The sequence below is a fragment of the Homo sapiens genome, chromosome 21, assembly GCF_000001405.40.
Source record: "Homo sapiens chromosome 21, GRCh38.p14 Primary Assembly".
Lineage (NCBI taxonomy): Eukaryota > Metazoa > Chordata > Mammalia > Primates > Hominidae > Homo > Homo sapiens.
The window spans coordinates 41,767,059-41,791,111 of NC_000021.9; the positions used below are offsets into that span (position 1 = coordinate 41,767,059).

Genomic DNA, 24,053 nt, shown 5'->3' on the forward strand with positions numbered 1-24,053 from the left:
CGCCGCGGCGGCTGCCCAGGTGCCCAGGTGCGCGCTCCGCCCTGTTACGTCACTTCCGTAGGTCGTCCCGCCCCCAGGCCCCGCCCACTTACCCGCCCCCCGGGCGCCCTCTCTGCCAGCGCCCGGTGACTGCGGACGGATGAATAGACGCTGCGGGTCACTGCGCTCTCCCCTGGGTGAGCAGAGCTTCTCACGCTTCTCACGGGTCTCGACGTGCGCATCAGCTGCCCTGCTTTTCTTTGCTTTTTTTTTTTCCTTAATTGCGGAGTCACATGCAGTTGTAAGAAATCATTCACTTTGCCTAGTTTCCCCCAGTGTTACCACTTTGCAAAACTTTGCCAAAAAAAAAAGTCCAATCTCACAACCAGGATATTGACTTTGATACAGTCACCGATCTTATTCAGTTTTGCCGTTTTACTCGTCTTCCTTTGCATGTATTAGTTTTACACAATGTAATCATCTGTGTACCTTCCCGTATCCACCCCCACCTGGCCACTCCTGTGGCGATTTTACAGCCGCACCCCGGAGCCCTGGCATCACTAATCTTTCCTCTATTTCTAAAATTGTTTTATTTCAGAAATGTTATGTTTAGATACAGGAATCATACAGCGCCTAATTTTTTGAAATTGGCTTTCTTCACTCGTTAGTCTAATTCCCTGCAGGTTCACGTCTTGCTTTTTTACACGAGTTTCCTCTCAGAAAGTAACTTTTTTTAAAAAATTACCCAACAGCAAATCTAAAGTCCATTTCAAATGCAAGAGTTCCCTCATCCTTTCCTAAATAACAGCCTCTTTTTACAGGTAGAACAGATGGTTTGAAAAGGAAAGATTTTTTTTTCACATATGGGGAAAAAAAATTCCCAGCCTTGGAAGGATATTTGGGTTAGAGGCCGAAGTGCATCACAGATCACGCACGCGTCCACACCTCAGAAAACACTCACTCATTCCTGAGACGCAACGGTGAGTGAAGGCTTATTTTTGGCCACAGGAGATTAATAATGAAGACAGGAGGGCGGAGCTAAAGGAGAGGGTATTTTAACGACATTAACTGTGTTTTTGTGTTAGTAACTCGGAAAGAGAGAGGCTGCCCCAAGTCAGCGCATTGAAAGCCGCAGACCTAGTGTCTCCAGGCTCCCCCTTCCAAACGGGCGCGGACCTTCTTTCATAGCCTGTAGCGGGGAGCCGCGTCTCCCCACTGCCTCCCCACTCCCATCCGGCCGCTCTTTGGAGGGAACTCACACATCCCAACATGACGATGCTTGCTCGGGGGGCCTCCTGGGGGGACCAGGGAGCCACTTCCTTTCCCACATACTCCGGAAATTAAAGTTGGTCTCCTTAAGGCTGGAGTGGCAAATAGTTGTTTTAAGCTTGTCACAAATGTAACTTACATTTGGACTAATGTTTTAAAAAATAATTGGAGTTTTGAATCTACGAAGATACCTTGGAAGTAAACATAGTTATTATTTTGGTGGGAAAAAAATGAATGGACTTGAAAGTGAGTCACCTGTCCTGTTCCCGGGGCTCAGCTCTAGCAAAGTACCTTTCTCCATCTACAGTCTCCGGCACACAGCTCCGCAGCTGGGGGTGACTAAGAGCCCACACCACGCAAGTAATAAAACGCTCCAATTTCATTTATTTAATCATCTGTGTGCTTCATTTGACAAATATTTATGGAGTGTCTGCTGCTAGCTCAGTGCCTGGTGCCTGGGACTGAAGACCAGAGCCCCCTGGAGACCAAAAGAGCCAGCTCCCAGCTGTGAGCAGATCGGGTCCAAAGATCACGGGCTCGGCGGCAGGAACCTGGTTTGGTATCCGGCTCCTCTGCGGACTTTGAAGTGCTTTACCGATTCACATGACAACTGGTAAAACGAAAACAAACACCTTTCCAGGAATTGTGAATTCGAGTTCCAGACCCTCTGGGATTCCGGGAGCGCAGCTGCTATTTATGTTAACAGTCATTGGTCCCAGGCTGGTGAGGTTAGAATTTCCAAGTATAAAAGTAATTTAGTTTCGTTTTAAATACATTTTAGGGCCAAAGAAAAGTGGAACGATTTAAAGAAAAAGATGAAATGAATAATAGGGCAAGTTGGGAGGTGGCTGTCCTGAGGTTTCATGGGACAACATTAATTAACCTCATGAAGTGCCTGCATGGACAACGTGCCCGGTGTGGTTACAAACAAACCAATCAGCACAGATCCTGGGTGGAAAGCAGGGCGCAGCCACGGAGGCACAGTAGGGGTGCAGACTTGAAGGTTTTTAGGAGGTAAGCCCCGAGGGCACGAAGCTCCACGGAGAGACTGTTGACCCGCCTGGGAGTGCAGTGCAGGTGAGGAGGGGAGGGACGACGAGGGGAGACAATGGGGGGTGGGAGGTGGGAAGGAGGAGTTGGGGAAGGGGGCTGTCTGCTGACATTTGCAAGCCCCCACTCCCCCACTACCCTGTGTTCCTCCTGGCCCCTTCCCCAGAAGAATTCCAAGCCAGTTTCCTCCTATACTGGATGTCCTGACAGCGAATCTAAATAGGTGATCCCTTGAGCTCCAGGTCCCCAAGCTGTGCCCTTCTTCATAGGGGGCCATTTAGCACTGACCCACCCAGCAGGCAGCCCAAGGTCCCTGGTCTGGAAGTGCCAGGAAGCTGCCTTTAACATCCTACCGCAGGGAACAATGAAGGTTGCCGGCCAGGGAGAAGACAGGATAGAGACGTCTCTGGGTTTGCAGCCAGCCTGCCTCAGATGGGGTCCCAGGCTGTGACCATGGTGCATTTGCCTGTCCCTGACATGTGGGATAGAGGGACCTGCTTCGAGATGTCGGTGGGGATCCACGCAGATGATAATTATATGTGTGTGGCACATGCCAGGCCATGGGTGAATAGTGAGATTTTCAATTGAGTCATTTTCGTCTTTGTCCTTCTCAGGGTCCTGGAGCAACTCAACCCTTGTAAGTGCATGGCTCAGTGAGATCGTGGAGCTGACATAGGGCTGACCTGGCTCTCAGAGGCCCCAGAATAAAGCTGGAGCCCCTGGGGTCCACCTGCTGGCATGACCATGGGACAGGGGCGTGGAGCTGAGCTGGGTCAGCCACCTGGGAACATAGTCCCCTCCCGCCAGGCCTCTGCACCCAGCCTCCTCCCTGCTTAGTAGGCTCCTCCCTCCCCTACAACAGCCACTCCTGCCACCACTTGCATGGTTGTTTTTGAGAATTCCCTCCGCATTGTGTTATTTTCTAAAAGAACATAACTTGTTCACTGCAGAGATTCTGCCTTCACTAATTCTGACAAAGTGATTTAGGGGAGACATTGAGGGCCTGACTCGCGAGGGCTCCCAGACCACCTCTGGGAGACCCATCTCCACCTGACACCCAACTCCTCGCTCTTACTCAAGCAAATATTTTCTATTTACACAAACACTTCCTTATCAGAGACAGCTCCTCCTTTGACCCATTGGTTCCATGAGTCTTCCTGCAGGATCATACATTCCGTGTCCTGGGAACACAGCATAAAGGGTGCTGTTCAGCAACCTAGGGGCTTGTGTCTGATGGCAGAAGCCATGAAGCAGATGGGGGATGAATTATAATTGTAGTAATGCTACGTTCTAATCTGCTTTGCACCCTCATGCTCCACTCCATAGTCTTTAAATGTGGGGCTTCTTAAAACACCAATTTGGAGCCTCCCTGATCCTCCCCTCTTTCCCCAGGCAGCTCATCCAGGCTCACCTCAGCTTCCATGTATTCTACGAAGATCCCTAAGCTTCTGTCTGCAGGCCAGACCTTTCCTCTGAGCCTCAAACCCCCAAAACTTAACATGGTGCCCACAGTAGGATGTACCTAAGGCACCGCTACCCATTTGAGATAAGCCTATGCTTTTCACCCCCAAACTGGTTCTTTCCAGCATCTCCTGTTTCTGTGAATGAGCCCTTTCCATTCTGAAGGCCAGGACAGAGTAGCCCATGGCCCCCACAGCACACTCAATCCAGTCCTGTGTCCCAGCACCACCCTGACCAGGACAAGAGGCAAACCTGCCCCGGCCCCAAACGTTAAAGGGCTCCAGTCTGCTGTTCCTTGGACCTTCCTGTCTACCCAGTGCCTGGAGTCAATTGGGCCAGGAGACACCCATCCCCATAGATCAAGAAAGCTCTGGGGACCCTGAAATTCCCAGTGCAAATGTCCCTCAGCCATCTCCAGCCCCTGCACATGTTCATTTCCCTGAGAGCAACTGCACGACAGGTGTGAGCACCCGAGCCCCCAAGTGTAGCCAAGAGAAAGCTGCGTGCAAGGGCCATGGGCAGAGCTCGGCCTGAAGCCCGGGATATTCACGCATGTGCCAGTGAGGCTGTTCGTGGGTTAGGACGGAGCTGCAGGCAGAAAGAGCGGGGGACTCTTTGGGGGCCAGAAGCTGAGAATCCTCAGCTGTGCTCTAGGCGTGAGAGTGCATTTGTCAGTCAGAGGATTGAACACACTTCATTTAACCCTTTGTTAGCTTGATGTAGAACTTTCAACAATTCAGACACGTAGCCCCTAGGCCCAGTTATTGTACCTTCCGCTGGGGTCCAGAAGCATCACCACAGGTCTGGTCACCAAGCCTGCACCTCTTCCATCCTGAGCCTCCCTGCCTGTGACTCTGTCCCCTGTGCCAGTGCCTGGACCCCAGTCATGGTCACTCCCATCTGGTCATGACAGCGGTCACCCTATCTCCGGAGGGCTCAGGAGGGTCTCCAGACATCCATGGGACCCTAGCCCCAGCCAGTGTGTCTTGACACGGTCTAGAGAAAGAATTCAGGGGACAAGTGGTCATGGTGCGAAAGGCACCGTTTTGCTTTTATTGCAGAGAAAGTGGGCACCTGAAAGAGAGCTCGGACTTGTGTGGGAGAATGAGTCGCACACAGTGAAGTTTGGGTTTCTGATTTTGTGGGCTTTTCTTTAATTAGGGGGTGGAATAATCATTAAGTATTTTAGAAAAAAGAGGGGATTTCAGGGACCTCCTGATTACCACCCTTTTTCTCCCTCATTTGGGTTTGCCTGGAAGCGTCCTGGACATGTCACCCTGACAGGGGTTTCGGCCGCTTTCTCTCCCTTGTTTGGGTTTTCTATTATCCTGGGGTTTCTTTGCCTGGTACTAGTTTTAGCTATGGTTTGGGTTTTTCCATCCTCCCACGACCACCGAGTGCTGTTCCTATCTCAACCCTGGCCCTCTTGGGCCCATTCTTCACCTGCAGCTGGACATCTGGAAAACACACCCCTGGCCTCGCTTTCACGGTGGAAATGAGCCTGGCCCCTCCAGCTCCGGCCTGCAGCCTTTGCTGCTCCTGGCCCTCCAGCCGCCTGTCCCCTGACTGGGTCCAGCTTGGTGCTGCAGGACCGGTGCACACGCTGTCCTGGGGCCGGGAAATCTCTCTCCTGACACCACTCCCTGATGCCTGCCTGGTCTCCCCCACTCAGCCCATCATGGGTGTCTCCCCCAGCCCCAGGCTTCGTCACATTCCTCTGTTACAAGCTCAGGAGCCTGTGCACAAGTTGCCCTGCCTCCCCCACTCTCGGCTTCATGGGGCGGAGCAATCTCTGCCCCTTCCCCCACCAGGCAGAGGCTCTCCACGACCCACCCCTGCCCACCTCTACTGGCCGGCCTCTGCTACCCCCACTGTCTCTGCTGCAGCCACACTGACCCTCCTTGCTTTCTTCCCCAAACCAGCGCCCTCCTCCCCAGGCCCTCTGCACTGCTGCTGCTTCTTCCTGGGGGGCTGTGTCGTCCCTCTGCCCTCACTGCTTCCAGTTTCATGTGACCTCTCACAGCTGCCCTCCTGGATGACCCGTCTAAGACAGCGCTGGTCCCCTCCCGCTGGCCACCATCCTTCTGGGAGCCACTCAAGAGTTTAGGGGTTACCTCTCTGCTGACACTCACCCTAAAATGCGTGGTACTATTAACTTGAGTAAATATTTTGGTTACTCAAGGGTGAGCCCCACTTAGAGTCCCTCCAGAGTGCCCCCCACAGTGCCTCCTGAGAAGTACAGCAAATGCCGCTAAAATCAGAGGTTCTCTGCACACGGCACTTTTAGTACATCAGTAATCTTTTTATGGCATCCCTAGACCAAGGAAACGTCCAGCGGTTTCATTTATTCAGTGGTTAGGATCCAATAATTTAAAAAATATTGATGGAAAAATAGTCTAGCAGTTTCTCCAAAAGTTAAATATAGAATTGCCCTATGGAATTGAAAACAGGCATTCACACATAAACTTGTACATTCATGGCAGCAGTATTCATAATAGCAACAGGCGGAAACAACCCAAGTGTCCATCCATGGATGAATGGATAAACAAAATGCAGTCTCTGCATGCTGCGAAAATTCACTGGATCCCTAAAGGAAGTTCTGATACATGCTGTATTGTGGATGAACCTTAAATAGGTTCATATGTATTATACAGTTGTATGATACATTTCTATCAAATATTGTATATGGATGTTAGGTATATATACATTCGTACGGTCCATTTATATCAAATATTCAGAACAGGCAAATCCACAGAGGCAGCAAGTAGATGGGTGGTTCCAGGAGCTGAGGGACAGAGGGAATAGGGAGTTAATGGGTAGGAGTGTCCTTTCCGATAATGACAATGTTTTTGAATTGGATGGTGGTGATGATGGTTGCACATCATTGTGAATGCACTGCACTAAACGAATTGTACATTTTTATTTTTTAATTTTTTTTAGAGGTGGAGATCTTGTTATGTTGCCTAGGCTGGCCTTGAACTCTTGGGCTCGAGCAACCCTCCTTGCCTCAGCTTCCCACGTAGCTACGGGTGCACATCATCCTACGCAGTTGAACTGTACATTTTTAGATGGTTAGTTTTATGTGATGTGAATTTTATCTCAACTTTAAAACAAAGTTATATCTTAACAACTTAGTAGCTTTTTAAAAATGATATGCATAAATTAAAAGAAAAAAATTTGTATCTCATTCTTAACAATCGTTACATACTTATGGGATGGTTTCCCCTGTCCGACACTATACAACTTCTCAAACCTGGAAATGTCCTGTGCTGCGCTAATTTTCACTTACTGCTTTTAGTCACAGCAACCTCCAAAAACCCAACTTTGCAAAGATATGGCATCGTCAGAAGAAATGGGGTGCAATCTAATGTTGACAGTGTAAGTAGTCCGGAGTGAGCAGCTCACGTGGTTTCTCAGAGACTTTGCGGGTTCCTCCCAAACTTTAAAATATCCTGGTGCACCTGCAGGAGTTCCCTGTGCTGCCCCACAGTGCCACAGCACCCAGTCTGAGAACTGTAATAATACATATATGCTGGATTAAATATTATAAAGTTAATTCTTAAATACATCCTTAAGATGTCCATCCATTGCTTCTTTTCCCTCTCTCTTTTTGTTTTGTAATCAACCTTACCTTTCAAATAATTTTGTAAATATGGGCCAATTCCTTCCTTAAAACACCCACTTCTGGAAGAAATATTACACGCCCTGGAGAATTTCTTTGCACTTACTGACTCCCTCTCTCAACACAGGTGGATGAGAGTGGGACACCTGCCAGTTGTTTGCATCAGCAGACACTCAGAGTCCATGGAAAAAATGAGCCTAGAGGTTTTTAAACCACAACACAAGCAAAAGGCACCTGGTCCCGTTCCTCTTAAGACAGAAGAAAGAGGCGTAAAACCAGCTCCAGGTGCCACCCTTAAGAAATGTTACAGTGCCGGATGGGAAGAGTAAACCCTGAACATCTCTTCTTAATACTTTACAGACTTCAAGTGTATTTTATGGTGACAAAGCATATTGAAGACAAATGAAACTCTACAACCCTGAAAACCAGCCTGAATTATTTTGAGAGACAGACAGTGGCTGCAAGGAGAAGCGTCGGGATTTTCTGGGCTGGCCATCTCCAGTGTCACTGACCCCGGTCTACCCCTGCATGTTTGTTTACGGGAAAGGAGTTGAGGAGGAGGATGTATGGCTGAGAGCCTGAAAATAATCCAGGGCAGGTGGAGCGAGGAGAGGACTTTACTCCTCACACTCATGTAGGCATCCTGAAAAGCCACTTTTCTTTCCAAGGTGGGCACGGGCCTTGAGCTTGGAGTGGAGCCAGTTAAAGTTGTCCGCTCTGGGTCGTCAGATGGAGATCTTATCTTGGGTCATGAATTGTGGTTTTAGGAGAAAGGCAGAAGCTAAACCCATCTTCTGTCTGGTGGGGAGGCCCAGCAAAGGGCTCAGAAACACAGCCACAGGCCTCTTGCAGCAGCTGGATGCACATTTCAGGAGGTTGCCTGAAAGCAGAATTGACTTCAGAGAGTAGGGCAGCAGAGCCCAGCCACAGAGTGGTCCCAGGAGCCAGGAAGTGCCACACAGCCCCTCGCTTATTTTTACTCAGTATGCCACAGAAGTCCTGACCTGTTAAAAGTGCCCTTTAAGAATGGCTGGCCCACCCTCTCTCAGAGGGTTCATGCTGGGGAGAGGGTTCCTGCATGCCCGCTAAGCTCCAAATGACAACCCAGGTGTAGAAAGGGCTTAGACTTTAGGGTTCAAACCCATCCTAGAGTCCGGTCCAAGGCCAGTTACAGCCAATGGGCAGTGGTAGGTGCAGCCCAGCCCATTAGCTCATTCTTGAGCCTCAGAGGGACAGAGCAGCACTAATGGGTGCACAAATGGCTAGAATGTTCACCAACTCCTCGAGAGTGGCATTGGACATTTGGGCAAGGGTCTTATGGAGGCTGAGAGTTGACTGTGGGCTCATCACAGCTATTTTGAGGGTCTTGACAGCCCAACTAGCAAACAATTCTGCAGGGATGAGAGGTCAGGGCAAAGGGAAATGGCATTGTCAAGTGGACAGCCAAAAAGTCCAGGATGCCCCCAGGTCCTGGGGAACGGCGGGGGAGGAACTCAGGGACTGGATTACCCACAGGACCTGGTGAGACCCACAGCCACGGGCTGACTTGTGTCCACTCAGAAGCGTATGTTAAAATCCTAACCCCCAGTACTTTGGAATGTGACCTTATTTGGAAATAGAGACTTTGAAGATGATCAAGTTAAGATGAAGTCATGGGGCCGAGAGCGGTGGCTCACGCCCGTAATCGCAGCACTTCGGGAGGCTGAGGCGGGCAGATCACGAGGTCAGGAGATCGAGATCATACTGGCTAACACGGTGAAACCCCTTCTCTACTAAAAATACAAAAAAAAAAAAATTAGCCGGGCATGGTGGCGGGCACCTGTAGTCCCAGCTACTCAGGAGGCTGAGGCAGGAGAATGGCATGAACCCTGGAGGTGGAGCTTGCAGTGAGCCGAGATCGTGCCACTGCACTCCAGCCTGGGAGACAGAGCGAGACTCCATCTCAAATAAATAAATAAATAAATAAAGATGAAGTCATTAGGGTAGACCCTAAAGCAACAGAGCTAGTGTCCTTGTAAAGAGGGGAAGTCTGGACACAGACACACACCTGCACTAAGGGAAGTGGGTGGGAAACACTGGGAAGATGCCACATGACTGCAGTGACGCAGCTGCACGCCAAGTGATGCCTGGGGCACTGGAAGCCGGGGAGGGTTCCTGCCTGGCCCCTAAGCTCCAAATGACAACCCAGGCATAGGAAGGGCCTACACTTTGGGGTTCAAACCTATCCTGGAGTCTGGTCCGGGGCCAGTTACAGCTAATGGGCAGTGCTGGGTGCAGCCCAGCCCGTAAGCTCATTCTTGAGCCCCAGAGGGACAGAGCAGCTCTAATGGGTGCAAAAATGGCTGGAATATTTCACCAACTCCTTGGGTGGGTGGGTGGGGGGGGGGCATTGGACATTTTGGGCAAGGGTCTTCTTGAGGCTGAGAGAGGCCAGGAAGGAGCTTCCCCTGGAGTTGTCTGGGAGTGGGACCCTGCTGACACCGACCTCAACTTTTGACTTCTGGCCTCTAGAGCTGTGAGAGACTAAACACCTGTGGTTTTAAGCCACCTGGTTTGTGTCACTTTGCTGTGGCAGCCACTAGAAACTAATACACCCAACTAGATACGTATCTTTGTCACAGTTACAGGAATCTTTATTTTATCCAAAAGCAAAAGACACTGAACTTTTGTGTACATTCCAGGCCTGCTGATTGTAGCTGGTCTATAAGCTCGTGTCGGAGTCTATGGTGGTTGATTTTTGTGTCCCTTTGACTGAGCCACGAGGTATTTGATCAAACATTATTCCAGGTGTTTCTGTGAGGCTGCTTTTGGATGAGATTAACATGTAAATCAATAGAGTCAAGCAAATCGTTCTCCCCAATGCAGATGGGTTTCGTCCATGCAGCTAGAGGCCTGAAAAGAAGGAAAAGCTGATCATCCTCGTGTAAGAGAGAATCTCTCCTACCCAACGGCCTTCCAGCTGGGATACTGGCTTTTTCTTGCCTTTAGACTTGAACTGAACAATTGGCTCTTCCTGGCCTCAGGCTTTGGGACTCAGAAGCACACATTGACTGTCCTGGGGCTCCAGCTTATGGACTACCCTGCAGAAAGACTGTGGGACTCGTCAGCCATCATCATCCTGTGAGCCAGTTTTACACAGACACACACACACACAGTCGCACTCTCATGCTCACACATACACACTCACACACAATCACACACTTGCACACACACAGACACTCTTACACACTCATTCACACACTCACATGTGCACACACACAGTCTCTCACACACATCACACACACACACACACACACACACACACACACACACTATTGGTTCTGTTTCTCTGTATAACCCTGATGAATTCAGGATCTTAAAGGTTACCTATTTCATTGTAATGCTGTTTTCTAGCACCAGGCTAGTCCTTTTGTCGGCAGAACTGGTAGGCTCACTTTTTTTTTTTTCAGACTGTTTTGTGTTTTATTTTCTTCCATTTACAAAAAAGCATTTCTAAGCCAGGGCAGTGAAGCCTGACGCTACCGTTCACGGTCAGTGAAATGAGCATTCGAGGATGGGACTCAGCCTGTCTGGACAGGTCCCCAGACAAAAAACACAGAGAATCAAGAACGCAGGCGCTCCCTGTCGGACGCCAGGCCGGGCCCTGTGACAAGGATCTCAGCGCTGGCGGTGGGGCTGCCCTGCGGGTTCGAGGCCTGGCTCTTCCTGCCCCACTGCCTGGTGTGTAGCCCAGGGGCCGGGCCGCCTGCGCCCCCCGCCGGGGGGCACGCCCGGCCCAGGGTTGGGGGTGTCCGGCTTGCCCCCAGGGGGCCAGCGGGGCCTCTGTTATCTCGCTCCAGAACCGACATCGCCAGCCAAGACCTTCCTCGTGGAGCCCTCGGTCTGGCCAAGGACGCTCCTTGGAGTCTGCTTAGACGCACAGCGGGCTCAGCTTTGCCAAATTCTCCAAGGAGACTTTCCATGAGGCGCCTCCTGCCATCTGTGGGCGGCGTTGGGAACTGCGGCCACCGCTGCTTGGGAATCAGGACGTCCCAGCTCCCAACCGGCGGTCATTCATTCCCTCAACACACACTCTGGGCCGCCCGCCTGGCTCCAGGCAGGCCCTCCGGGGACTCGGGAAATAGGAGTTGTTAAACATTTCTGAAACATTCCTCTTCCATTTATTCTGTGATTTTCTTCAGAAACACAAGGCGTGCACGAGTCAGCTTATCAGCTTATCCTTCACCCACACGTAGGCTCTTCTTTCCAATCAATTTTATCTTTGTTTTTTTCTAAGAAAATTTTAGGGATTTTACTTGTTTTTGTTTTGTTTTTGGGTTTTTTTGTGTGTTTTGTTGTTGTTATTTTGTTTTTTTTTTTTTTTGGTGGGGGGTTGGCTTGGTTTGGTTTTTGCTTCATTTTTTAATTTTAGGGATTTTTAAAAAGCCAGCATTCCTTAATCTTCTGATTGTTGTGTGACTGTTGTATAATATTGAGAAATACATTCCTGTCATCCACAACTAACAACCATTAATAATGTGTCGTATTGTTTACTTTTTTGTTTTTAACTAAATTTTGCTTTGGGGAAGTATCCATGACGATACAATATAGCTGTGAGATATTTCCTGTACCTGCTACGTAACACCCCTTCATGTAAAACGCAGAGCATTTGGTTTATCCACATCCCCCCGCCCCCCGCCCATGCATATTAGTGGTTTCCAGTGCTAAAGGGACAGCGCCCCCCACGTGCATTTCTCCAGGTACTGAGGCAGGAGAATAGGGGCTGGAGGCAGGGGACCAAAGGCTGTTTCACTCAGACTTCCTACAACTAAATTGAAAGGAAAACCCTAACTTTCCACTCCTAAGTAACAAAAGGACCAGAGGCTATTCCCTTTCTAAACCCCCCCACCTTTTCCTCGAGGCAAATGGGAAATTGGCTGTCCGCAACCAATCAGACTGATTGTGGGTGGAGTCTTCGTTTGCACCTCTGTACCTTCGCTCCAGTCTCTGAACGGTTGCTGTCCACAACGAATCAGACTGATTGCGGGCTCAGCCTTCGTTTGCATAGAAGTATAACTTTGTAACTTCACCCTAGCCTCTGACTGGTTGCTTTTGGCACCTTCATTTACATGAGGTGAGCATGATGTGGCCAATTGGAAACTTCTAGGGGATATTTGGACCCAAGAAGATCCTGTATCCAGGCCCTTGAGCCGCTGCTCGGGTCCGCTCCCATACTGTGGAGTGTACTTTGGTTTTCAATAAATTCCTGCTTTCGTTCTTTTGCTGCTTCATTCTTTCTTTGCTTTGTTGGGCGTTTTGTCCAATTCTTTGTTCAAAATGCCAAGAACCTGGACAAGTTGCAGTTATGACCCTCGACCGGTGATAGTAGCACTCGCTCCTAACAGCTTGGCTGCAGTAAGCCTAGGCTTCCAGGGAGAGCCTCTGCACCTGCTGCTGTGCTGCTTGAGTTCTCTCAGACAAGGAAGCATGAAAAGGGCTGCCTTTTTCAAACAGCAGGGGAAGGAAAACACAGTGATAACAAATCCAAATATTATTTCAATTGAGATCTTATCATATACATCATATACACAGCCATTTAAAAAGTGAAAACAAATATAATAAAATCAAATTATATTCAATAAAAAAAGCAAGGCGCAGGCATTTACATAATGAGACCCACTTCTCTTAATGTATTATATAGTCTGTAAAAGCAAAAGATGTGAAGCACCCCAAATCCCCATGGATGGGCGATGGTTGAATTATTATCACTCATCCATAGGAAAGACTGCCGTGCAATTGTGAAAATGGGAGGAGGACTGTGTCTACACGTGCCTCTGGAGTGATTGCACAGACCACTCTGAACAGAGCAAGGTGGAGGAAATCTTCCATTTTTCCAGTACAGGCAGGAAATAGGGACCCATCCCTCTGTCTATCTATTTACTATCTTTATTCCCATCCATCTATTATCTATCTATGTTTCTACCATTCATCATCTATGTACTACCTAACTACTTGCCTACCTGTTCTCTATCATCTATCTACCATCAATCAATCTATCTCTCCCTATCTGCTTCCATTCTAAAAATAAACAGTGTGAGCACAGTCCACAGGGAGGGGGCTGGAAGTCTCTGGGGGAAGACACAAGTCCTTGTTGCACATGCCCTGTTTTCTAGATTTGACTATGAAACCATGCAAATATTTTACATCCTTATAAAACACAATTAACTTTAAAAAGCAATGTCTAAATACCAAAAATAAAATAAGACAAATGAACCAAATGTGTATCCATTTGGTAGCCTGACTAACCAGAGGGGAGCTATTCCAATTGACTTTAAAACGTAGGAATTTAAAAGTAACTACTAGTGGAAAATGCACTAAGGGCAAAAAGAACAGAGAAAGAAAGGAAAGGAAGAAAGGAAGGAAAGGAAGAAAGAAAGAAAGGAGGGAGGGAGGGAGAGAGAGAAAGAGAGAGAAAGAGAAAGAAAGCAAGAGAGGGAGGGAGAAAGAAAGAGAGAGGAGAGGAGGAAAGAAAGAAAGGAAGGAAGGAGGGGAGGGAGGAGAGGGAGGAAAGGAAGGAAGGAAGGAAGGAAGGAAGGAAGGGAGGGAGGGAGGGAGGGAGGGAAGGAGGGAGGGAGGCATCTTAACCCCTTTCCCACAATCACACTATTGGCTGAGTGTTGATGTTATCCTGAGACTGCCCTGTGTGTGTTGAAGCATAAAGGAAATGTGATATAGAAACTCTATCATTAGCTCTATGGTAAAGAACTGAGATTTTTGGCATGAGAAAATAAAAGTTAAGAAGCTGTAATTTAAAAGAAAAATATTGGCCAGACACAGTGCCTCATGCCTGTAATCCCAGCACTCTGGAAAGTGGGAGGATCACTCAAGCCCAGGAGTTCAAGACTAACCTGGGCAACAGAGTGAGACCCCGTCTCCCCCCAAAATAAACAAAATTAGCGAACATGGTGGCATGCACTTGTGATCCTGGATATTTTGGAGGCTGAGGTGGGAGGATTGCTCGAGCCCAGGAGTTTGAGGCTGCAGTCAGCCATGATCACAACACTGCACTCCAGCCTGGGCAACAAAGTGAAACCTTGTCTCAAAAAAATAAAAAATCATAAAAGACAAGGAAAATATCAGCACGAAATAATAATTAAAATCAATAAAAATGGATAATGCAAGCATTCTATTAATTAGGCTCATTATCATAATGTAAATACATATTTGGGGAACTTGTTCCTCCAAACAGCAATGCTCTCTCTTCCTCCTCTACACTTTATGCCAACTAATTTTACATAAATGGGAAACTGTCATTTCTACCAAAGCGAGCTGCACTGTGTTTCTTGGGGTGAACCTTTAGGGAGACAGCCATTGTGAGAATGAAAGGGGAAATATATTATTGAAAGTTTACTTACAGTTTTTAAAAATGCCTATTTCCTCCCTGTTTTCTCCCACCCTCCAAGTTTATTAGTTACCTCTATCCACTAGCAATGGACAGATTTTCATGATTTAATTATTTTTACTATCAATTTTAAAAGTCAGCAAAACATATTTACTTTTTAACAATATATCATTTTAAAAGGGTACAGAGTTGCAGTTACATAGGACGACTAAGTCTAGAGGTCCAGTGCAGAGCCTGAGGACTGTACTTAACAATTCTGTGCTGTACCCCGGAAATTTACCAAGAGAGATTTCAGGTGCTGTCACCACACAAACACACAAAACGCAACCGTGGGGAGGTGGACATGTTCATATGCTTGACCGTAGTAACTTTGCTGTGAGTATCTCTATCAACACATCATGTTACACAATGTAAATATATGCCTTTTTTTTTTTTTTTTTTTTTTTTGAGATGGAGTCTTGCCCTTGTCGCCCAGGCTGGAGTGCAATGGCATGATCTCCGCTCACTGCAACCTCCGCCTCCCAGGTTCAAGCAATTCTCCTGCCTCAGCCTCCCACATAGCTGGGATTACAGGCGCCTGCCACCACGACCAGCTAATTTTTGTATTTTTAGTAGAGACAGGGTTTCACCATGTTGGCCAGGCTGGTCTCGAACTCCTGACCTGGTGATCTGCCCACCTCGGCCTCACAAAGTGCTGGGATTACAGGCGTGAGCCACCATGCCTGGCCACCATTTTTATTTTTAAAATGATAAAACAAAACACATTGCTGAACCAAGAAAAGAATTGAGATGATCGTGCAAATAATGATGCATACTATATTTGGGAAAAATAAAAGTTATGAAACAGTAGCAGGTCCAAGTTATATACGCAACTGTGTAAAATGTGTTCTTTAAAAATCAGGGTTTCTGTGCTTTCAGCAACCTACACATGTTCTGACTTGTGATCTCAAGGTCTGGGAGACATGTGTGGTGAAATCACACACACCTGCCCCAGCAGAGGGGTCACTGGACGTCTTCATGCGCTGCAGGGAACTCAGATGAAAGGGACCTTAAGTAATGTAACCTTTACGTTAGATTCAAACATGCCTTTATGACTGCTCATCTGATTTGTAATTTAAAGCTTAAGCAAAGTATGGCATTATTTAAATGCTCATTTTTAATTTGTTGAAAGAAAAGTCAATATTTATCATGAAGACTGCGGCTCAAGCCTAAGACCTATCTAGTGGGAAGCAGGACCAGAGCAAAGGTCTGACTGTACGTGAACATTTTAAATTTTTTTTTTTGTTTTTTTTTTTTTTGAGACAGAGTCTCACTCTGTTGCCCAGGCTGGAGTGCAGTGCTGTGGTGCGATCTTGGCTCATTGCAACCTCCACCCCCTGGATTCAAGCAATTCTCCTGCCTCAGCCTCCCTGGTAACTGGGATTACAGGCATGTGCCACCACGCCCGGCTAATTGTTTTGTATTTTTAGTACAGACGGTGTTTCACCATGTTGGCCAGGCTGGCCTCGAACTCCTGACCTCAGGTGATCTGCCCACCTCGGCCTCCCAAAGTGCTGGGATTACAGGCGTGAGCCACTGCACCTGGCCAAAATTTTAATTTTTTAAATAAAATGTTATCCTTAGACTGCCTTTCCTCCTCTGTTTACTCTTCTTTACACTGTGTGTGTACATGCACTGGTTCACATGTGTGCATGTGTGAGCATGCACTGCGCTCATGGGTGTGTGTTGAAGGCCGAAAGAACGAGGGTCGTGACCAGCTCAGCACACCGCTGGAGGCTGTATGAGCAAACAGCAAACTGTTCTCATGAATGCAGGTTGTTGGCAAACTGACAAACCGCCACCAGAAGGAACCCTGAGGGCAGTCACGCCCCAGGCGCAGTGTTTCTTGTGATTATCTACAGCCACATCTGAAGCCTGTTGTATAAAGAAAGCAATTATGTGAACCTGTCATAAATCAAGCAGCTGACCAATCGTTACCTTTTGCTCCCTGTTGATTCTGCCTAGTAAATACGAAGGGCTTTAGAGGCTCAGGGCCCTTGCTCACTAGAAGCAAGGAGCCCCCGACCCCTTCTTTAAAACAGATCTTTTTGTCTTTGTCTTCATTTCTGCGTTCATCCCCCTTCGTTCAGTCCTGTAGTAACCGTCATAGGTGTGCATGCACAAGTATGTGTGTGTGTGTATGCACATGAGACTGAACCTGAGAAGCTCCACACTCAGCTACATCAGGGGCAGCCCAAGACCTGCGGAACTTTCCAGCATGACTCACGTCTCCCCGTCCTGCCCCTATCTTCCAGAACACTGCCAGCCAGATGTATCTTATGTAACGCCATCCCTCATGCAGAGGACCTGCAGGTTCTACACACTGGCATTTGGGGGCCCCTTGGGAAAGTGACCAGTGAGGCTGAGAGGTCCACAAGCCCTACCCATACCCCAAGAACCTTCAGGCTTGCAGAGATTTGAGGAAACCTCCAGTACAAGAGGTAGGAAACAAACAGAAAAGAAACAGACAGTTCAGAGATTGGTGGCAGAGGGAGAGCTTCAAATCTTCAGAGAAGATGTGTCACCCATGAAACTAGAACACAGTGAGTAGGGGACAAGGAGGACCAGATAACCAGAAAGAACGCTTAGAAATTAAAACATGAAGGCCAAGACTAAACATTAAAGAGTCAAGAAGATCGTCCAGAAATTACCACAAAAGGGGCCGGGCAGGGTGGCTCCTGCCTGTAATCCCAGCACTTTCGGAGGCTGAAGCAGGTGGATCACCTGAGGTCAGGAGTCCGAGACCAGCCTGGCCAACACAGTGAAAACCCAACTCTACTAAAAAAAAAAAAAAAAATGCAAAAAAATTAGCCAGACCTGGTGGCGGGCGCCTGTAATCCCAGCTACTCGGGAGGCTGAGGCGGGAGAATCACTTGAACCTGGGAGGCGGAGGTTGCAGTGAGCCGAGATCGTGCCATTGCACTCCCGCCTGGGCAACAAAAGCGAAACTCTGTCTCAAAAACAAAACACACAAACAAAAACAAACAAAAAAACAAGAGAAAAAAGAAAAGAAAAACGAAATTCCCACAGCACTACATCTGCAGTAGGCACTGAAAGCCTCCTGTCCTGGGAGACTCCCCTCCTGCCTCCTGGACAGTCCCACTCTGCCTTTGTCTCCCTTCTCTCCTCTTAGAATTCCCACTAGCCGGATGCCTCTGCCAACTGAAGCTACTATGAACATTGTGTGTAAGTCTTTTGTGGATATATGTTTTCATTTATCTTAGGTATTAGGTTGGTGCAAAAGTAATTGTGTTTTTTGCTGCAAATTTCTGAGTTAAGCCTACTGAGCCGAGATCGCACCACTGCACTCCAGCCTGGGCAACAGAGCGAGACTCTGCCTCAAAAAAAAAAAAAAAAAAAAAAAAGAAGAAGAAAGCACAGAATTCTCACCCACACTCTCTGCTCCTGCATCCCCGCCAGATCTGTATTGGTGTGGTGCATTCATTACAGCTGATGAACCAAAACGGATCATTATTATTAACTAATTATTTAAAATTAACATTTAGGGCTGGGCGCAGTGGCTCACACCTGTAATCCCAGCACTTTGAGAACCCGAGGTGGGCGGATCACTTGAGGTCAGGAGTTTGAGATGAGCCTGGCTAACATGGTGAAACCCCGTCTCTACAAAAAACACAAAAATTAGCCAGGCGTGGTGGCACATGAGACTACAAGTCCCAGCTACTCGAAAGGCTGAGGCAGGAAAATCGCTTGAACCCAGAAGGTGGAGTTTGCAGTGAGCCGAGATTGCGCCATTGCACTCCAGCCTGGGCGACAGTGTGAGACTCCATCTCAAAATAAAAAAAGAGACTCCATCTCAAAAAAAAAAAAAAAAGAAAAGAAAAGAAAAGAAAAAGTCATGGAAAGCAGCTCAGGTGCTTCTTTGTTTTATCACTCCCAGGAAAGTGAGGCTTTTTAAAAGGTCCTACTCTCAGTGATGTTCCACAAACTTTATCATCAAAGACAGACAACACTCAATACACTCTAGAAAATCTCCATGTGCTTAAAGTCAGGTGTAATTGAAGTTAAATGGGGGCCAGTCGCAGTGGCTCACACCTATAATCCCAGCACTTTGGGAGGCCAAGGTGGGAGGATTGCTTGAGCCTAAGAATTCAAGACCAGCCCGGGCAACATAGTGAGACTCTGTCTCTACAAAAAAAAAAAAAAATTAGCTGGCATGATGGTTCATGCCTGTAGTCTCAGCTACTTGGGAAGCTGAGGTGGGAGGATGGCTCGAACCCGTGAGGTCGAGGCTGCAGTGAGCCATGATCACACCACTGCACTCCAGTCTGGGCCACAGAGGGAAATCCTGTCTCAAAAAAAAAAAAAAAAAAAAAAAAAAAAAGAAAGAAAGAAAAGAAAAGAAAAAGAAATGGTAAATTTCAGAGACTCTTCAAGGAGAATATGTCAAATAGTACTTAAAGCTGTTAAGGCTTCCAACCAATTCTTGAAGTCCTTGAAGGTTCGTAGGAAAGTCAAAGAGGGGAGAAATTGCCTGGAGAAAACGGTTAACGACGCAGGGCTGGATGAGGAGTTAGTCTGTGGATTGAAGAAGTGAAAGGTTATTAGACATAAGGCTATCATTACCTCTACTTGATCTTTAGAAGAACAGAACGGGAGGAAATATCCTAAAGAATCCAACACAAGGAAGTTTGTGGACAGGAATGCTGTTGGATGATTGCGTGAAGTTGGGAAATCTCTCCAACTTGTTTCATTAATAAGAAAATAAATCATGTCTGGGGTAGTTTAGCCATGTTCTTGCTCTTGGCTTGAAACAATGGTTGTCAAGTTGCTGCCGGGGGCTATAAAACTTGATTTGGTCCCGAGTTGAGGAAAAGGACGCTCGGCTCAGCTGTGAGTCACTGGAGCCTGGAGCCACTTGTCCACCCATCAGAAGTTCTCACAGCAATTTGCACGGAAAACCAAAGCTGAGGTTAAGCCTCGTCGAGTCAGAAGTCTGACTCTGGCTGGTGAATAACCAGTTAAAATATTTCAGCTTTGACGCCACCTGAAGGCAGGTGTGGGTTGGGGGTGGCTAATTACATCCAGAGTGGGACAAAGTTCCCCGGGCAGCTGTGTTTGCAGCCGTGACAGCAAACATCGCAAACAGCAGTCAGGAGCCAGGAAAGCGATTGAGCGTTTTGCTGTTACCTTTTAAATTAAAAAAAAAAAAAAATGAGCTGGGCGCAGTGGCTCATGCCTGTAATCCCAGCACTTTGGGAGGCCAAGGCGGCTGGATCACCTGAGGTCGGGAGTTCGAGACCAGCCTGACCAACATGGAGAAACCCCATCTCTACTAAAAATACAAAATTAGCTGGGCGTGGTGGTGGGCACCTGTAATCGCAGCTATCCGGGAGGCTAAGGCAGGAGAGTCACTTGAACCCGGGAGGTGGAGGTTGCAGTGAGCCGAGATCGCACCATTGCACTCCAGCCTGGGCAAAAAGAGCAAAACTCCATCTTGAAACACACACACACACACACACACACACACACACACACACACACACACAAATAGGTCCCTGGTTTTAAAAACAAAAGTCTCTGCACTGTTTGGTGACACATTTGCTTGCTGGTTGTTTTGGGAATGTTCCACTGAATCTTGGAGGGATGCTCTTCATTAGGGCCCATGCATTTCCGCCTAGTGTGCGCCATCCACGTTCTCATTGTTCTTCTCCTTAAAAGAATTATTCGGCCTGAGTAAGGGCCTAGCAGCCTCTCACAATTCCCAATTTCTCCCAAAGTACTGACAGTGATCCAAAAACAAAGAAAAGAACCCCAGTTCCACAAACATCAAATTAAAGATTCATTCAGACAATATTTTGTAATGATATTTTACTGAGGCCAGGTGTGGTGGTGTATGCCTGTCATCTCAGCGTTTTGGGAGGCTGAAGCGGGCAGATCGCTTGAGTCCTGGGGTTAGAGACCAGTCTGGGCAACATGGTGAAACCCTGTCTCAACAAAGATATACCAAAAAAAGAAATTACCTGGGCATGGTGGTGCACACCTGTAGTCCCAGCTACTCGGGAATCTGAGGTAAGAGAATCACCCAAACCCAGGAAGTTGAGGCTGCAGTGAGCCGTGATCGCACCACTGCACTCCAGTCTGAGTGACATAAGTCAGACTCTCCCTCAAAAAACTAATAGTAATGAATGATTCAGTTTTACTGACAATGAATTCTTTTTATTGAGAAACCTAAATCATCTAATAATGAGATAACAATTATTTCAGGGGGTGACTGAGCCGATGTTAGTAGAATGACTGAGTATAGCACATCGGGCTATTCCTCTTATCCTAAATTGATGAGCTGGATATTTGAATAGAATTCTTTTCAATTTTATATTTTTACTGATGCTTTCAAGACCCATATAGTAACTGAAAATCTAGGAACACATTTTAGCTCTGTTTCTAAAGCTCTGGACACTAAACAAATCAGTGTCCAATCTACCAAGTGGAGAACCACCTGCAGTAAAAAGATCTTAGCTTGGGAGACTAAGATACGAAGATACTTAGAGCATGTGACATGGGTATTTTTTTCACTGTGGTATTTACTGGGAGTTTCCACTGTTTTTTAATTTTATCTATCAAGCCTCTCTAATAGACTGTCCCAAGCTGGGCACCAGAAGGTTATATAGGAATGGTTGGGATGTATGGGGACAGTCCAGGGAATATGATTGTTTAAAACCAAATAAGGCACAGTAATACACCGCTAGCTTCTATATTTAAATGCCAACATGTACCCAGGGGGCATCAGAATGTACTACAATTTTAGACATGAGATTTACATAATGATGTCAGATAAATGCCTTTTTCATTTGCTATTTCCATTATGTAATCATCGAGCATAATAAAGATCACTTGTCATAAAGAACCATTTTCTACTGGACAGTTACATTCCATTAATCATTAAGGTAGCATGGAGAATTAAAAGGCTTGAATAATCATGTTTTACCATTTGCTGAAAAGGGACAACAAATATAACTTAATGAACAAAGTTGAAGAATTCATTAGTGATCTTATTAATAAGAGTGAATCATTGGAGATGAGGATTTTCGAGGCTCATGAAGACTTGAAAATTTCAAGTGATAATTCAAACTGGATAGAACACTTTCAGCTATTGGTTTGAAGCTTCAAAGCTTTGATGGCTAAGGAAGTATGTCTTCCAACAACACCTAGACCCAGAAAAAACATGGTTAACAGTAAAAGATGTTGGGAGCCTTTTCTCCCCATGGTTCATCCGAACTGGGCAAATTCTTTCTCTTATCTCTCCAAATTATGATCTTAATTGTTAAATTTTTCTCTTAGAATACAGCATGAATAATTTGTACAACCCGTACTACACAATACTAGTTACATGGAAAATACAAACCACATTTTAAATGATTTAACATTGGTTATAAGGCAGTTCCACAATTATTCCCCAGAAACCTATACACTGATCTTCAATTCTGTAATCTGACTCCTGGGCATTTATTCCAGAGAAATGAAAACTCATGTACACAAAAATATTCACACAAATATTCATAGCAACTTTGATTCAGAATAGCTGCAAACTGGAAACAACCCAAAATTGTCCTTCAATGGGCTACTGCCTAAATAAACCATAGTGTACCCGCATAATGGTCTCAGCAATGAAAAGGAATGAACTGTTGACACACCCAGCAACTTGGGAGCATCTCCAGGGTGGAGATGCTGAGTGGAAAATCACAAGGTCAGAAGATTGAGACCACCCTGGCCAACATGGTGAAACCCAGTCTCTACTAAAAAAATACAAAATTAGACGGGCATGGTGGCGCACACCTGTAATCCCAGCTACTCAGGAGGCTGAGGCAGGAGAATCGCTTGAACCCGGGAGGTGGAGGTTGCAGTGAGCTGAGATTGAGCCACTGCACTCCAGCCTGGGTGACAGAGGGAGACTCTGTCTCAAAAACAAACACAAAAGAAAAAAAGGAAAAACCAATCTCAAAAAGTGATACATTTGGTATCTTGACGTGGGGCAGATAAACAGACCAACACAATGATACACCAGCATTGTATAGAATCTAATACACACACAAACACACACACAGGGTATAAATGAAATCTGAATAAGACCAGTGGATTATATCAAAGTCAAATCTAACTGTGATCTAGTACAATAGTTTTTCAAACTGTTACCGCTGGGGGAAACCAGACAAAGTATAAGAGATCTCTCTGAATGATTTTCGATAACTGTATGTGAATCTACTATCTCAGTAAAAGTTGGTTTTATGTGATCTGCTATCTCAATAAAAGTTTCCATTAAAAAATCATGGTTTTGGGAGGCCAAGGTGGACGGATCACCTGAGGTCAGAAGTTCGAGACCAGGCTAGCCAACATGGTGAGACCCAGTCTCTCCTGAAAATACACAAATCAGCCGGTGTGGTGGCACGCACTTGTAATCCTAGCTACTCGGGAGGCTGAGGCAGGAGAATCGCTTGAAGCTGGGAGGTGGAGGTTGCAGTGAGCCAGCATTGTGCCACTGCACTCCAGCTTGGGCAATGGAGTGAGACTGTCTCAGAAAAAAAAAAAAAAAAAAAAGCATGGTTAACATGTAAAGAATAATACCTTGATAGACAAATATACCATATTTTTTAAAGTTATAGAATGTATGATTCCATTTTATATAACATTCTTGAAATGACAAAATTATAGAGGTAGAGAGCAGATGGTGATTGCCTGAGGCTAGGGAATGGGGGAGGGATTGGGGAGGGTAGGGAATGGGGAGGGATCAGGGAGGCTAGGGAATGGGGGAGGGATGGGGAGGGGAGGGAATGGGGGAGGGATTGGGGAGGGTAGGGAATTGGGGAGGGATCAGGGAGGCTAGGGAATGGGGGAGGGTAGGGAATGGGGGAGGGATCAGGGAGGGTAGGGAATCGGGGAGGGATGGGGGAGGCTAGGGAATGGGGAGGGATCAGGGAGGCTAGGGAATGGGGGAGGGATGGGGGAGGGGAGGGAATGGGGAGGGATGGGGAGACTAGAGAATTGGGGAGGGATGGGGAGGCTAGGAAATGGGGGAGGGATCGGGGGCTAGGGAATGGGGTAGGGATGGGAGAGGCTGGAGTGCAGTGGCACAATCATCGCCTACTGCAGCCTTGATCTGCCAGGTTCAAGTGATCCTCCCACCTCAGCCTCCTGAATAGCTGGAACTACAGGCACATACTACACACCAGCTATTTTTTTTGTTTGTTTTATTTTTTTTTGTGGAAATAGGGTCTCACTATGTTGCCCAGCCTGGTT

General features: G+C 46.9%; 1 long non-coding RNA gene across 5 annotated transcripts, besides 2 other annotated features; it reads left to right on the plus strand.

Moving 5' to 3' along the window:
* Positions 109 to 7,806, plus strand: LOC102724800 (uncharacterized). Of its 5 annotated transcripts, XR_937745.3 has the most exons (5): positions 109 to 176; positions 801 to 959; positions 1,556 to 2,325; positions 7,058 to 7,137; positions 7,509 to 7,806. It is a non-coding gene; the product is annotated as an uncharacterized LOC102724800 (long non-coding RNA). The 5 variants fall into 5 exon arrangements; XR_007067874.1 differs by having other exon boundaries at positions 109 to 959; positions 1,556 to 2,262; positions 7,064 to 7,137; XR_001755062.2 differs by lacking the exon at positions 1,556 to 2,325 and having other exon boundaries at positions 109 to 959; positions 7,064 to 7,137.
* Positions 1,611 to 1,905: an enhancer, noted in NCBI's record as "tiled region #172; HepG2 Activating DNase unmatched - State 1:Tss". NCBI's record gives its function as "activates a minimal TATA promoter and a strong SV40 promoter by Sharpr-MPRA in HepG2 cells {active_cell/tissue: HepG2}" and the evidence as "EXISTENCE:reporter gene assay evidence [ECO:0000049][PMID:27701403]".
* Positions 4,931 to 5,478: an enhancer, noted in NCBI's record as "H3K4me1 hESC enhancer chr21:43192149-43192696 (GRCh37/hg19 assembly coordinates)". NCBI's record gives its function as "activates a minimal SCP1, AML or CMV promoter by ChIP-STARR-seq in naive H9 embryonic stem cells {active_cell/tissue: H9 hESC(naive)}" and the evidence as "EXISTENCE:reporter gene assay evidence [ECO:0000049][PMID:30033119]".
* Positions 7,807 to 24,053: the final 16,247 nt, after the last annotated feature.